Below are 15,817 nucleotides of genomic sequence, written 5' to 3' on the forward strand. Positions count from 1 at the left end.
GGCCTGCCACGAGGCCCTGAGTGGATATGCTGGCCTGGACACCAAGGATGAGGGACCCTGGCACTTCGCATCTCAGGGATGCCGGGTGCTCACCCGCAAAGACCCAGAGGAGAGAAGGGGAGAAAAAGTCTGAAGGGCTCGTGACCACCCTGGGGTCCTGATGGGGCCAGGCACGGTGGCCATACTTGTAACCCTAGCAGTTTGGGAGGCTGAGATGGGAGGACTGCTGAAAGCCTGCCTGTGCAACAGGCATAGAAGGCCCTGTCTGTATGAAAAATAATTAGCTGGGTGTGGCAGCAAGTGCCTGTAATCCCAGCTACTCAGGAGGTGAGCCCAGGAATTGGAGGCTGCAGTAAAAGTCATGATTGTGCCACTGCACTCCAGTCTAGGTGACAGAGTGAGAGCCAGTCTCAAAATAAAAAAATAAAAAATAAAAAAAAAGAAGGACTCCTGGATCACCCTGGGGCCGCGCAGGGATGGGTGGGCTCTGGAGGCCACAACTCTATTCTAACCACAGTGGTAATGATGGCTTCGGGCAGGACCACTGATGGCACAGAAATCACCGGGTGAAAGGCTGATGCAGATGGGCCTGTGGCTGAGCTCAGCTTCCCCACAAGATCCTGCTTCCAGAAAGAAGAAGGCGTCCTCCTGGTGGAGAGCCCTCGGAGCTCAGCCCATGAAGGAGGGACATGTGGTGCCCCTGCTGCGGCTGCCGCTCCCCAAGTCACCAGGAAATGCAGACCACTGTCTGCGGCCACTGCATTGCTTCCCTTGTTCAGAGGTCGTCATCCCACAGTGATGGCAAAGATGGCAGTGACCACGGGGCAGGGGAGAGCCCAGTAGGCGATGGGCCAGACAGGTGCGGGCCCGGGCAGGGCAGATGGGGCGCTTAAACTGCTCTTGCTGCTTCTTTGAGAGTTAAATGTTTCAAGGCACAAGACTTTAAAAAGGAGGCACCTGGAGACATGAAGGCCAAGGGTGACAGCCTCGTGGGGAGGGCCGTTGGGGGCCTTCCCGATGCTCGGCACAGATGGGCACTGTGGGCTATGGGCCGGGCAGGTGTGGTCCTGGCCTCAGGTTCCTGTCTCCCACTTCTGGGAGCTCTGCCTCCCTTGTGGCCTCTGTTTCAAGGTCATTTCTGGATGGGCAAACTGAGGCCCCAGTGGCTGGGGTTGTCCAAGGTCCTGAAGGCCAGTGTTGGAGCCTCCGGGCACTTGGCCCCTGCGGCCCCCACGCCGCTACCCCCAGCCCAGGCCCTCAGGTCCAGAACCTCTTGCCCTCCAGCCTGGGGCCACTGTTCTGAGAGTGTGCCCCGAACGACACTCCCTCATTAGCCGAGTCCCAGCTCTGTGTTCTGGGGTTGGAGCTCTGGGGCTGTTGTCCTCTGGGCCTGGCTGCTCACTGAGGCTCCTCCAGGGGCCCTGCCACCCACCTTGTGTGCCTGCAGATGTCCTTCCCATGCGAGCACCAGTGCCACAGCCCTGACCCCCCGCCCTGCCTACCCCATCATGGCTCGCCACCAGCCCAGCTGAGCTGCTACCCCGAGCCCACCACTTCCCTAAGCCCCAGCTTGCTCCTGGCACCTGGCATCAGCCTGGGAGGGGCTGATGATCTTGGGGGAGGATCCTGCGACAACTGCCGGGCCTGGGACAGTGATGGAAGTCCAGGCCTCCAGGGAGGCTAGGAGGCTGGTCCCAGTCCCTGCTCAGCCATTAGGGCTGCCCCTCCCCATGTTGGCCTCAGTTTCCCTGTGCGTAGCATGGGTTTGCGGTAAAGGTGATGCACTGCCATGGCAAGGTTTGTTATTGAGGGTCCTTGGAGCGGGGCCACTGCAGCAGGAAGTCCCCGTGGGGCCCCCTGCGTGGGGTTGGCCTGGCTCAGGAGATGGTCCCGGCTGCTATTTCATGTATCGTGAGGACACCGAATCCTACCCCAAGGCCATGAGGGCAGAAGGCCAAGGCTGTGAGCCTTCCCTACTTGGAGACATTTGCCCTGGGGAGCGGCTGTTCCCAGACCCTACATGCCTCCCCCACGAGTGATCTGCGGACTGGGGAGGGCACTGCCTACATCTGCCCCAAAGGCAGTGGCAGAGGCTTTGTGGGATGAGGGTGGTTTGTGCTCTCAGAGGCACTGGGCTCAGCCAGCGGCTGAGGTAGAGCTGGGGCCCTCCGGGGCAAAACATCAAAAGTCTCTGAGCTCCTGTCCAGGGCTTGGATGAGTTGGGATTGGTGCTGCCCCAGCACCCAGGATTCCCCAATGCACCTGCCACCTGGCAGTCCCTCCCCAGGGCTCAGCACCCACCATGAGTCCTCAAGGATTTGGGTGATTCAGTGGCCTGCCTCGCTGGGCCTCCCCCTTAATAATGCATTCTTGCTAATAACCTTCTTTCCTGTGTGTCATTAAACACATCCTCCTGCTGGTGGGTAGTGGAGCAGCCGGTGGTGGCTGGGGAGGCCCGGGCCCCCAGGAGAGAGGGAACCCTGGGAGGCTGGGGGGTAGGAGGGGACAGGGCTGGTGCACCACCTGAGAATAGGTACAGGGGCTCCAGCTCTGGGCAGCATCATGAGACGCTTGTGGGGTCGGGGGCGGCAGGGCAGAAAACAGCCTACAGGGGCCAGGCTGGGGGCTGCCCTCCTCGTCCTGTGGTCACTGGGCTATGGGAATGGGAATGAGGGCAGGGCAGTGCTAGTGGCCCACAGCCCTGGGGGGCAGCAGCCCAGGGATGGTTACAGGACAAGGTTTGCGTAAAACCAGGCTTGGAGGCCGGTGTGGGGTGATCCCTCTTGGAGGTGAAGGAAGGGAGCAGTGTGGCAACGTCCTGGAAATCATGGTCAGAGGGCCCAGCTGGGGCGTGTGGCCTGGAAAAGGCACTGCCCCCACCCCCACCAGCCAGGGTCTTTCCCTTGCCCCTGCCCCCTCCTCAGGGCCCCGCCCTGTCAGCCCTGCCTGTGGGTTTCAGCCCCATGGGCAGAGCATCAGACTTAGCCCGGGTGGAGGACATGGTCGGTCCTGCGGGCAGGTCGGGGGAGTCCCAGGCCAGGGCCCAAGGCCACCCGGGGGCAGCCCTGCCCACGCCTCATCTGGTGGACCAGGGAGAAGTCCTCCATCAGGCATGGTTACAAAACTTCTCAGACTTAATTAAAGTCAATCTCCAGTTACTCAAATGCCATTGATTTGGATCTCGACTGATGGGGAAAATATGATCATCATCATGGGAAACATCGATAGGAAGGCGCTGAGTACCTGGGCACAGGGCCGATCTGGAGCCAACACAGTCACGGAGCCCCTGCTCTGGGCCCGACCACGGGGCCCTCATGCAGAACCCTTGTCCAGGCCCTTCCGGAAGGGTCTGCCACTTGCTGCCTGGGTGTCCCTGAATTCTCACCCCCTGGCTGAACCCAGGGGCCTCACAGAACCGGGATCCTGCAGGGCTGATGGGAGGCTCAAGGGTGCGTGTCTTGGGGCCGGCAGCAGCCAGCGCTCTGTGGAGACCGTCTACCCTCGTCACGTGGCTGGGGTCCTCTTGATGTTGCACCGGGGACCCTGGGCTGGCAGGACTAAGTCTAACTGGGGATCCAGGGCTCCTGCCTATCAGCCCCCAGTGAGTGAGTGCAAGAGGGAAGGCCCTTTGGCCAGTGCTGCACCTTTTACTTGCGTGGGCTTTGAGGCTTGGACCCAGCCCGAGGCCCATTGGGCAGCAGATGTCAGCACCTCTGTAGAGGGCAGCTGAGGCCAGACTTCTCCATCCAGCCTCAGCAGAGAAGCAAGGGCGGAGAGCAGGTAGAACATCAAGGCGGAAGGAGGTGATGCTGTTCGGGGGCTGGGGAGAAGTGCCTTCAACCAGAGCACCTGAGGTTCTCTTCTGGCCTTGCAGCCTGGAGCCTGGTCTGGGGCTAGGAGGTGTCGCAGCTGTGAGGCCCCAAGTGCAGGCCCAGGCAGAGGAGACCTGGAGGCAGCTAATGTGGGGGAGAGTTGACTGGGGATCGTAATCTAGTTTTCTGTTTTTCCTTGGAAAAAGAAAGACAAAGTCCCCAACTCACCTGCCCTTAAAATAAAAAGTCACAGGCTGGGTGCATTGCCTCATGCCTGGAATCCCAACACTTTGGGAGGCTGAGGCAAGTGGATTGCTTGAGCCCAGGAGTCGAAGACCAGCCTGGGAAACATAGAGAGGGAAACCCCCTCCCTACAAAAAAATAGAAAAATTAGCCAGGCATGGTGTCGCATGCCTGTAGTCCCAGCTACCTGGGGGCCTGAAGTGGGAGGATCCTTTGAGCTCTGGAGGTGGAGGCTTCAGCGAGCTGGGATTGCACCATTGCACTCTAGCCCGGGTGACAGAGTGAGACCCTGTCTCAAAAAACAAAACAAAACAAAAAAAACCACCAAAAACCAAAGTCACATAAAATGTCTTCATAAATACAATAGAGGCAAACCTCATGTGATTTGTGTTCATGGACTTGGAGGGGCCAAAGGCCCAACAGAAGTGAGAGGAGGAGGGAGGGGAGGGGTGCAAGGGCCAAGGGTAGAGGCCGGGAGGGGCCAGCATGGTGGCCTGAGTCCACTGCAGGTGGCACTGCTGGCTTTGGTGTCCTCATTTCATCTCCTGTGACCTCTGCCCTTGGCATGTCCCCAGGTACCTCCTGTGGGCTCCTGGCTGGGGTGGGGTAGGAGGAGGAAGCTGAGGGTGGCCAGGGTCTGTGTCCATCGAGGGGTGTCCAAATTCTAGTGGAGGGAGGGCTGGAGGGGAGTGGGGAGGGGCCTTTGGCCAAAGCCAGGTGCTGGGGTGTGACGGATCTCCACGGTTGCTGGGACCTTGTGGCCATTCCTGGGACATGGCTTTCACCTTAACAAGGGCCCTGGGTGTTCCAGGGGTCCCCATCCCCTGCCCCTGGGGGCTCAGCACACAAAGCCCAGCCTGGGGCCTGGGCCATGGTAGCCAGGGAGGTCAGGGTGTGAGGCCTTGGTGGCCTCCAGGTGGGCGGTGAGCCAGGGGGTGTGGACATGTGGACAGTGCCGGGCCTGGGTCATGCACTTCGTCAACCCTTCACGCCTAGACCACAGCCTCTCTGAGCAGGGCCCAGCTTGCGTTGTGCTGAGTCTTTTGTTACTTTAATTAATGCCCAGCTTCCTGACGCTTAATTAAACTGGAATTGCTCCATGTCCAATAGCCAAGCATCCCATTAGATACAAGTTAATGCAACTGTCGCAGTGGCCATGAAATGAGGCTGGTGCGTCCCCCAGGGAGGGATGCAGAATGCATCTTGGAGGACAGCATGGCCTGACCGGGCAGCTGCACACAGGGCCAAACTGAGCCCGTACTGGACAGCCAGCCCTCAGCCCACCCAGTACTTCCACAAGACCCTTCCCAGGCCCCTCGAGGAGGACTCCCCATGGGGGCCCTGGCCTCCAGCTCCTCTGCACGCCCGAGGGCAGCCTGCTTGCTTCCTGCTGAGGTTTGCTGTTCCAGCTCCATGAGAAACTCATGCTAGTGTATCAACATTTGGAAAATGCAGAAAAATTAGAGAAAGGAAAGTAGGGACTCCCCACCCCAGAAAGGTGCCATCCTCCCATGGGCCTGCGTTTTGGGCTCCGTAGGGGCTACAAGGTGCTCTCTGGGGCCTGCAGTGGGGGCCGGGGCAGGAGCTCTGGGAAGGCGTGGGGGCAGAGGCCACATTGTGAGGAGCCATTGGTTCTTCAGGAGCCGGAAGTTCTAGGATGGGGGGCAGGGCTGGGAGCCAGCGGGGGTGAGGCAGGCTGGGGATGCTGGGGTGATACCTTGCACCCACCAATCTCCAGTGCCAGCCTCTCACCCTGATGGCCCCGTGTCCAAGGCAGCCTCACGGTGCCCTCTGCCAGTGGCCAAAGGCATTGTGCCTGGTTGGTCCATCACCCCAGAGTCTTTTAAAATTAAATTAAATTAAATTAAATTATAATTAATTTTAGAGATAGGGTCTCGATCTGTCACCTAGGCTGAAGAGCAGTGGCACCATCACAGTTCACTGCAGGCTTGAACGCCCACGCTCAAGTGATCTTCCCACCTCAGCCTCCCAAGTAACTGGGACTGCAGGTGTGCACCACCACTCCCGGCTAATATTTAAACACTTATTTATTTATTTATTTATTTATTTGTTTTTAGATGGGGTCTTGCTCTGTCACCCAGACTGGAGTGCAATTGTGTCATCACAGCTCACTGCAACCTTGAACTCTTGGGCTCAAGTGATCCTCCAGCATCAACCTCCCAAGTAGCTGGGACTATAGGTGCAGGCCACCACACCTGGCTAGTTTTTAAAGTTTTTTGTAGCGAGGGGCTTTCACTATGTTGCCTAGACTGGTCTCGAATTCCTGGCCTCAAGCGATCCTCCCACCTTGGCTTCTCAAAGTGCTGGGATCACAGGCCTGGGCCACCACACCCGGCCAGCCCAGACTCTTGGTTCAATCCCCTAGAGGGCTTGAGTGGGGCAAGGAGGTGGCAAAGTGGGCAGCAAGGGGGCCGCCCTGGACAGGTCTCCCTGTCCCCCTACCCGAGGGTACTGAGCGGCCTCTGCATTGGGCTCCCAGGCTGGGCTGGGTGGGTCTGAGGCAGGAGCAGCCTCCCCCTGGAGGCCAGCTCAGGTGGCAGAGGCCCGGTCTGCCCCGGGTCTGCGGAGCCGAGGGCAGGTCTCTGGTGCGTAGGTTGCTGGGCCTGGCTCTCTCTCAAGCTTGTTTGCTGTTTGGGTCCTCCTCTTTGGGGCCAGGGCCACACGCACCTCTGCGACATTAGCTTGGTGCCTGTGAGGGGCTGGGTATCTCAGGAGATCGCAGCAGGTCCTAGCACTACCCTGTTGCATTCTTCAAGGACTCCCCGCAGCCCAGTGTCTGTGGAGTGGGGCGTGAGGTGCTGCCTCCCATGTTGCTGCTTAGAAGGACGCAGCCCTGGAAACCCTCACTGTGGAGTCTCTGAGCCCCTCATCCGCAGAGCAGCAGTTGCTGCTGTTTGCACAGACAGCAAATCCGGGGCATGTTTGTTTAGTAAGATTACCTCTGCTGGGGCCTGGCCCAAGGGACAGGCCAGGCACAGAGGGGTGGGGGCTCTGTGCATACTGAACACCCCCCCGAGAGTGGCTCTGTCTACAGCCGGACCACTCTGGAAGTGACGGCACTGCGGGCCTGGAGGGCTGGGGCAGTCCAATTGGGCACCATGCCCTCACAAACAACACACACACCAGCGGTGGGGTTGCGAGGGGGCGCTGAGGGAGGATCCTGGCTGCCCTGCTTAAGCCCTGCAGCCTGTGGGGCTGTGTCCACCCGGGTCGCATGTTGCTTCTACCTGCACGGTGGCCCCACCACACAAGGTGCCGTCCTGCCCTCCAGTCAACTTCCTGGGGCTCTGAGCAGCCTGTGGTGGCACCTCACCTGGGCAGAGGGTGGGAGGAGCAGCGCCCTTCCTTCTGTGCAGGGAGTCTGATCAGGGTTCTGTCTCACTGTGGGACAGTGGGGGCCGGGGAAGAGCGGCAGGTACCAAGTGCAGACAGCAGATGTAGATGCATGCGGGGGTCCGGGCTGGGGCCAAGAACACAGCCCTGGAGTCAGGGACACCGGCTTCATGTCCTCACTCTGCCATTCAAGAGCTGGGGGACCTCGGGCAGGTGGTGTAGGAACAGGGAGGAGTCTGCCTGCAGCACGCAGAGGAGGGCTGTGCTGGTCAGGGGGTGTTTTGGGGAGAGGACCTCAAAGGGAGGTTGACTTTGGGAAAGGGGTCAGAGTACAGAAAAAGTGGGTCCAAATCCTGCTTCAGCACTGAGACCCTGCCTCGGCAGGGGTCTCCAAGCTTGGCTCCACCCCCTGAGGGGCCAGTTACTGCATACCTCGCCCACCCAGGAGCTGGGGGCCCTGGTCCTGTTTCCCAGGGAGCTGTTGGCACTTGTGGGCTCCTGGCTGGGGTCCAGGTGGGCTCTGCTCCTCTGCCCTGCCCAGCGCTTTGTACTGAGCCCATCCTGCAGAGACTCAACGGGGCCAAACGCACATTCCTTGACCTTCTGTGAGTCTGTCAGTCTTCATCCCTCCCTGGACCTAGGAAGGCCTGGACAGCTTTGACCATTGGTGTTGGGTGGACATGGCGCTGCGCTGCACCCCAGGCCCTCAGAGCCCAGCTGTTCTGCTTTCTGCTTTTGGTCCTGAGCTGCCTTGAAGGAATCTGACCAGCAGGGAGAGCCCACGGAGCGGGAGGGCCTGTGGGGCTCAGCCCTGCAGCCGGTCTGCCGAGGCCAGGCCTGGGGGCACAGCTGGGGCTGAGTACACTGAATGCCCCCTCGATGCCATGCACAGCAGAAGAGCTGCCCACACCGCCCTGCTGGGCCCTGCCCGGGCTCCAGACCCACAGACCAAGCACACAAGAGACTGGGCTGCTTTGTCATGCAGCAGCAGGTAGCCGGACACATGTTTCCCCATTCCCCTGCCATCCTCTGAAATCCTGTGGGGAGAAAGCATGTGAGGTCCAGTGGGGGTTGGGGTGAGGGTCTGACTGGGGGCTTTCTAACCCACGTCTGAGTCCCATCCGGCGCCAGTGCCACAGTGGCGGGTGACTGGTGCTGCTCACACTGGCAAGCTCCTACCTAGACTTTGGAGCCCAACTCCACAAGGCCCCTGAACTACCCCTGTAGGCACCGCAGCCCCCTTGCCTTCCTCTGCTACGACATCAACCACTCTGATGGTATTTGTGGTTTGATGTGTTTAAGTAAAAGGCTTGTTGCAGAGTTTAATTGACCCCATATGTCTGCCTGAGGAGGCCGTGAGCTGCAGAGGGCAGGTGTGAGCTGGGCTCTTTCCTCAGTCCCCATGTCTTGCTGGGTACTCACAGGGCACACACGAGCACGTGCGGCAGGGGCAGGGGCCAGCGGGGGATGGGGAGGCTTGGCGCCCACGGCCCCGCTGCCCCATGTTTCCACTGCAGCCGAGGAGAAAACGAGGACTTTACGGCTGTCACAAACATTTCATCTTGTGCATTTTACAGTCCACGACTGCTGTGAACACTGGGGCTCCTGTCGGAGCTAGAAGATTCATAAAATGCATGTGAATTATTTTATTTTATTTTATTGTTTTGAGATGGAGTCTCACTCTGTCACCCAGGCTGGAGTGCAGTGGCGCGATCTTGGCTCACTGTAACCTCCACCTCCTGGGTTCAAGCAATTCTCCTGCCTCAGCCTCCCAAGTAGCTGGGACTATAGGCGTGCGCCACCACGCCTGGCTAATTTTTTTGTATTTTTAGTAGAGACGGGGTTTCGCCATGTTAGCCAGACTGGTCTCAAACTCCTGACCTCAAGTGATCCTCCCACCTCGGCCTCCCAAAATGCTGGGATCACAGGTGTGAGCCACTGCGCCTGGCCAAATGCATGTGAATTTTTATGTTCAATTATTCCAGGTTCCCTGCTCGGGGCCCATGGGCTTCCCCATGTACAACCCACCGGTAGGTCCCCGCCCAGTCCATGCTCCTCAAAGGCCAGCCTCACACCCATCCCACGTCCTCTTGGCTGGTAAACACTCTCCCCCTTCTTCCTTCTCCCTCCACATCTCAACTGCTGGAAGGGAAGAGCTCCTCAGTCTACTTGGAGTCCCTCCTGCACAAGAGGATCCAGGGTGGTCCAGGAGGGCCAAACCCACCTCTTTGGGTGCACCCCTGGGCAGTGGATTGGGGATCCAGGGCTTGTGGGGGTATGCACCCACCAGGGCAGGTCCCTCAGGCTCACTCTCCCTGCGCCTCAGTTTCCTCTCCTGAAAAATGGGCTTGTGACTAAATGTTGCAGGGAGCTGCTGAGAAAACGCCTGCTGAAAGCTTGGCAGGAGGTCATTGTGACCAGGGATGGGGCTGGGTGCTTCGGTCAGGCCAGGGCTGGAGGCAGGGGCTCACACTGGGGTCAGCAGTGCAGGGGCGTGGCTGGCGTGGCAGGCGCATGGGGATTGGCTCATCAGTTGCGGCCTCACGTCCCTTCGTTATGGCGCCTGCAGAAGATGTTCTCTGATTAGTCTGCTGAATTATGAATTAGGTTCCGGGTCCCTGTGCAGCTGTTCCCGGCTTGTCATCCCCACCACTTTATTTCCCCATCTGTTTATAAAACCAGGAGCGCCGTCCTGCAATAAACACTTCAAACGCTTTTTTTAGGGGCTAATTAATTGTGTTGCATTTCTTCGACACAGCATGCAGGCCGGACCTGCCCCGAATTCCCAATGCGGGTGTGGCTCCTGCTGAGCGCCTGGGGAGGGAGCCAGGCCTGGAGCCTGGGGGGCTGCATGTGGCCGCCCCAAGTTTGTTTTCTCCAAGGCAGCCCTCCACCTTTATGTGGCGGGCTGGGCTGTCTCAGGAATGCGCCGGCCATGTCAGGTTCCCCCTAGATTCCCCCTCCGCACCCTTTGGCTGAAGTCCTCCTGCTCGGACCATAGGACACTCTTGAAATTATCTGTGGCACATCCAAGGTCAAGGTCACGCCCTGCTGCCAGCTACAGTGCTGACCCTGAGGGCTCCACCTCCCAGGCCCACTGAGCATCACGCTGTCTTCCCTGCCTTGCCTGCCCAGAGCACCTCTGCCCTCCAGGACCCCCTCAGCGAGTGCGGTGGGCGAGTGCAGTGGGTGGGTGGCCCATCTAGGCAAGCCAATCTCTCCTCGGATCCGTGCACCTCTTTGGAGAAGGCCTCTGGGAGCCCCAGCCCTGCTGTGCACCCTGAGGCCTCACTCCGTCTGAGGAACCCAGAGAGCATCGCGGAGGAGGCTTAAAACAATGACAATAAGAAAACAAAATCACAATCACCAAGTCACGAAACAGCTCAGAGGCAATTGAGTTAGGCAGCCCCCTGCCAGTGCCCAATGCCGGTAAAGTGGCTCTTTAGGAACTGAGTCCTAATGTGGGCTGCGCAGCGGGTCAGAGGAGGTGTTCAGCCTGTGGCCAGGCATTGGGGCCCCAAGCCAGTCCTCCACTGCGGACAGAACCTTGCCCAGCTGCAGCTGGAGCCTGAAGGCATCCACTGCGTGCATCTGGAGGGGTCGGGGGTTCTTTGTCCCCAAGGCCACTGTGGCTCCTGTGGGCCACCGTCATGTCCACTGGGACTGGTGGGAAACTGGGTCTGGGGACTTGTACCCTCCGCTTCCTCATGTCCTCATCCTCAGGTGCCCTCCCAGCCCTTCAGGGGTCCTGTTTTCCAGCTGTGGGCAGGATGTTGCTCCTCTGCCCTGTCTGTCCACGACTCAGGGTGCCAAGGCTGGTGGAGCCTCCCTGCAGCCCCAAGGGAGGAGGCTGGGGCCAGAGACGCCCTGGGGTGGGGCACGTCTCTTCCCAGTGAACCTCAGATCCCTCGGGCGCCCACGCTCCCCACTGAGGGCCTGGGGCCACAGCACTCTGCCTGTGAGGGGTGGGCCCTTGGAGGCTTGGGGACATGCGCGCCCACAGGCACGTGGGGAGAGCCTGCTGAGCGCTGTCTCAGTGATGGTTCCCCACACTGGCCCCTGACATGGGGCTTGGTGTGGCAGCTTGTTGGGGAGGTGGTGCGTGGAGCAGGATGGGGACCGGGAGGTGGTTGCTGTGGGCTCTGCGGGGCGTGAGGGCCGGTGTTTGCCCCAAGCTCAGTGCCTGCCTGTGACCACACCAGCTCATAAGTGACCTCTGGGTGGCCCAGGGGTGAGCGGAGAGGGGACCTGAGCAGGCAACACGGGCCTGGAGAGGAGCTTTGTCTCTCTAGGAGAAGGCAGCCTGTCCTGCCAGACCTGGTATCACGCCACCCCAAGGCAGGCCCCGCAGAGCCCTCGGGAGCTCCACTCGGAGATGGAGACGCGCTTCCCTGTGTCGGGGCTTCGCTCAGAACATTTTTATGGGCTGTTAATTGTTATGCTTTCATTTAATTCTGGGTGTCATTCCATGTCAGCCAAGCCCGACAGGCTGGGATTTATGCTTCCAAATTATGGGGCTCGGGCTGTTCAGAGGTAAAACAATTACCCATCAATCAGCCACCAACCGGCTTGTGCTGGGGCTGGCAGCCCCATTAGCGGGCGTGGGCAGCCATGGCCCAGCAAGACCCCTTGAGGGACAGGACTGCCTTCGAGGGCAAGGCAGTCTGGGTGAAGTCTCGCCCCAGGTTGGCCCTGTGCTGTGGCAGGGCGCAGCTCTCTGGGGAGGCGGCCGCTCAGGGAAGGACCCCAGGGTCCACATTCACACCCAACTGGCTCCAGTGCTGCAGCCCTCGGCCTCCCATATGATGGTGTGACCCTAGGTGGGCTGAGGGTGACCCGCCGGAAGACGCTGCAGCATCAAGGTGGGGGGACCATGGGTCCCATATGCTGGGGCCTGGGGAGCCTTGGCCAGCCATGGTCACTCAGTGGGAGGGGCAGGGTCACCTGCCTCCTGAGCACCCCATCCCCAGGAGGGAGGGACCAGGTGTGACCCACTTCACAGGGAGGGAAGCCTTGGCTGTCAGAGGGGACACTGCGTCTCTCACTGGGAGGACCTCCCGGCCTGGGCTTGAGGCCCACCTGGATCTGTGCAAACGTAGATGTGGGTAGGGTGGGGCAGGGGAGGGGAGGTGGGCAGGGGAGGTGGAGTGGGCTGGCTGTCAGCTCAGGAGTGGGGGTCGGGGAACCTGGGCCACAGAGCGGATCCTGTCCCACCTTGACCCTGGTATGGTTGAGTCGGCGGCTAAGCCAGGCCCCGTGGTCCTTCACCCAGGGAGAGCCTGTGCCAGGCCAGGCACTGCCAGGCCAGCACACAGCCTTGACTGAGCGCCTCCCCGTCTCAAGTTGTCTCCTGGATGCCCGGCTGGCTGCTCATGGGGACAGGGGCAGGATGGGACAGCGAGAAGAGGTGGGCTCCCCCAGCCCCAGTGACCCTCCAGGCCAGGGATTGGCTTCTCTCCCTGCAGAGATCGCCCTTCCCTGCCCCTCTGCCCAGCTGCCCTGGGACTTGTGTCCCAGCCCTGCCCAGCATTCATCCTGGGTGATCTGCACGTGGGCATGGCGCCTCACCGGGTCAGGGTGGTGTCCAGGTGAGCAGGCGGAGGACTCTCCTCACTGCCCAGCAGTGTCCTGCTCCCCCAGCTGCTCTGACAGCCAAACTGGTCCCCAGCTGGGGCATCTCACGCCCAGACCTGCTGCCCGTTGGTGCAGTGCAGCCCCCGCCAATGCAGACACTGTACCTCGGTCTCCGGGACCCCCTCTGCCCCTGCAATTCGACGCTCTGCTCCTGCCCTGCTGGGATCCCACGTCCCTGGACCCTCCCTATGGCAGTCTCGCCCCGCGACCCTGCTACAGGCCTGCCCTGCCACCCCCGGGCACACTCCCTCATCCAGAGTCTGTGCAGTCACATGTGGACCCCTGAGGCCGGCCTGCGGCTCCCTGCTCACGGGCGGCTAAAAGGGGGCTTTCCAGTCACGCCCTGCCCTGGCCTTCTGCCTAAGGCCCTGGCCCTCATGGGCCAGGCATGGTCCTCAGGCCCTTGGCTCTGCCAAGGCTCTGAGACCCCACCCTAGAGAGACCCTGGCCCACCCAGCCTGGCCCTGCAGCAGTGCCCCAAGTGCCCCCGAGCCCGGCCTGGCTGCTGCCAGGGTGACCACCAGGGGCAGTAGTCAGATAGAGGGCGGTGGCCGGGCCCAGTGTGTCTGGGTGACCGCAGGGCCTGAAGGTGTGGTGGCCCACCCGGGTCAGAGTGAAACTGAACTCCTAGGTCAGGGTCGGGTCCTCCCAGGGTCGTGTCCTCTGGAACTTGGGGCGAGTCACTACGCCTCAGTGTCATCGTGGGCAGAACCTTCCACATGTGGCATTGAAATCTTTCAAATTGAATAGGAAAAGCCCCACGTTTTCTGAGCCCTATATATAGACCAGTACTGTCCTAAGTGTATTCTAGGGAAAGACAGTGGCCAGCCCTGTAGCTCAGTTATTTCTGTTTAAAGTGTGAACGGGCTGGGTGCAGTGCTTGAAAATCAAGCATGAAGTGAAACCCAGTGGGCCGTGCATGGCTCTGACACCCATGAGTCATTCACACGATGCCACTTGCTCATTGCTGTCCCACCCCAAATGCAGCACTGGTGGGCGAGACCCTCTGGGCATATTACCTGCGGGATGTGGCTCCAGCGCCTCACTTCCAGCTCACTGCTGCCTCAAACTCCTGGACTCAAGGAATCCTCCTGCCTCAGCCTTCTGAATAGCTGGGACTACAGGCATGTGCCGCCACACCCGGTGAATTTTTTTTTTGTAGAGAGGGGTTCTCTCTATGTTGCCCAGGCTGGTCTCAAATTCCTGTGCTCAAGCGATCCTCCCACCTTGGCCTCCCAAAGTGCTGGGATTACAGGTGTGAGCCACTGCACCCAGCCTCTTCACCCTTTAAACAGAAACAACAACTGAACATACAGGGCAGACCAGTGTCTGTCCCCAGTGCCTGTGCTGGGGGTGACTTTCCAGCTGGGGCTCAGCATTGCGAGTGGGAAGACCTCCTGGGGCCAACATGGCTTGGATTGTGAGGGCACGTGGGTCGCCGTGGGGCCAGAGTCCAGCAGTGGCAGAGCTGCACAGCAGTGGGGAGGGGCAGGGCAGGGCAGGGAGAGGGCCCCGGCTGGCCCGGCTGGCCCAGCCTGCCCAGGGCTGCACGGTTTCCATCCCTGTCCCCAGCTGCAGTGGGACACCTGCCATGGGGGAGGCTGGGGGAGGCCTGGGGTGGCGCCTTGGGCTCTCAGCCAGGAGTTCGCTCTCTCCAGGTCAGGCTGGCAGAGCAGCCCCAGGGCCCCTGCACCCCCACTGCCCATGCCCACCTTGGGCTCTCTGATGCCCGGCAGGGCCTCTGGGCTTCTCCCTCCCAAGCTTGGGTGGCAACGCTGGCATTTGGAGCCTGGGGAGCTGCTGACAGTGCTGGTCCTGCCCGCGAAGGAGGCGGTGCCAGGCTGTTTGGAAATGTCAGGCTGATGGGTGGTGGCACTGCCCAGCACCCCACCCCCGCTCCCACCCCAAGAGGCTGGACACGGGCTGGGGCCCCGGTGATGGAGCCAGGCCGGGAGCCAGGAGATGCTGCTGAGCAGGGATAGCTGGCTGAGGGCTCCTGGGCGGCAGGGGATCCGAGGCTGATGGACAAGGGGCCTCTCCTTGCCACCGCAGCTGCGGCCTTGGTGGGCCGGTCGATGCGGAAGAGTGATGGTGCACGTGGGGCCGTGGGGTGTCGGAGGGAGGTTTATTGATGTCGGCTGATTTCCCTGGGGGCCCCTTGCTGGCAGCAGCCACCATGCTCCCCGAGAGCTAACCGTATCAGGCCGGAAGGGTGGTGGGCAGTGTGATGGATGGACTCCGGCTGTCGGCTGGCTGGGCCTGGATGGAGCCCCGAGATGGGCACACTGGGCCGTGACAAGAGTGCCGTGGGGTCCCTGGGGGAGCCCAAAGAGGCCTCTGAGAGGGTCTGTGCTGGGAGGTAGACCTGAGAGAGGGGAGACACCATCCCAGGGTGGGCACAGGCATGGGGCAGAGGGCACGTGACGCCAACCTAGGGCCCCAGGGGGTGGGACGGAGGGGCCTGGTTCTGGGGCATTGGGAGAGGCCTGGGACTCTGGACCTGGTCTGTCTTTCTTGTCCCCAGTGTGAGCACCAGCCCTTGCAGCTGAGCCCTGGGAGGCGCCTCCTGCCCACGCAGCAAAGCTCAGAGCTCTGTGGCCTCCTCTGGGCTCCTGCACAGCGGGTTTGCTCCCAGCTGCTCCCCTGACACGGACACCTTCAAGGGCCACGTGACTGCCATCCCCAGGCCTTGGCCCTCGATGAGGAAGGGCCCTTCTCAACCTGTGGCTCTGAAATAGGTCTCATGATGGTGCCAGTTTAATGACAGGAGCAGT

General features: G+C 60.7%; 2 annotated features.

Moving 5' to 3' along the window:
- Window positions 9,886–10,879: an enhancer, noted in NCBI's record as "H3K27ac-H3K4me1 hESC enhancer chr22:20164314-20165307 (GRCh37/hg19 assembly coordinates)". NCBI's record gives its function as "activates a minimal SCP1, AML or CMV promoter by ChIP-STARR-seq in naive H9 embryonic stem cells {active_cell/tissue: H9 hESC(naive)}" and the evidence as "EXISTENCE:reporter gene assay evidence [ECO:0000049][PMID:30033119]".
- Window positions 12,308–12,472: a silencer, noted in NCBI's record as "fragment chr22:20166736-20166900 (GRCh37/hg19 assembly coordinates)". NCBI's record gives its function as "represses an EF-1alpha promoter that drives an FKBP-Casp9 reporter gene in an ReSE screen in HepG2 liver carcinoma cells {active_cell/tissue: HepG2}" and the evidence as "EXISTENCE:reporter gene assay evidence [ECO:0000049][PMID:32094911]".

This window comes from Homo sapiens, chromosome 22 (genome assembly GCF_000001405.40).
Source record: "Homo sapiens chromosome 22, GRCh38.p14 Primary Assembly".
Taxonomy (NCBI): domain Eukaryota; kingdom Metazoa; phylum Chordata; class Mammalia; order Primates; family Hominidae; genus Homo; species Homo sapiens.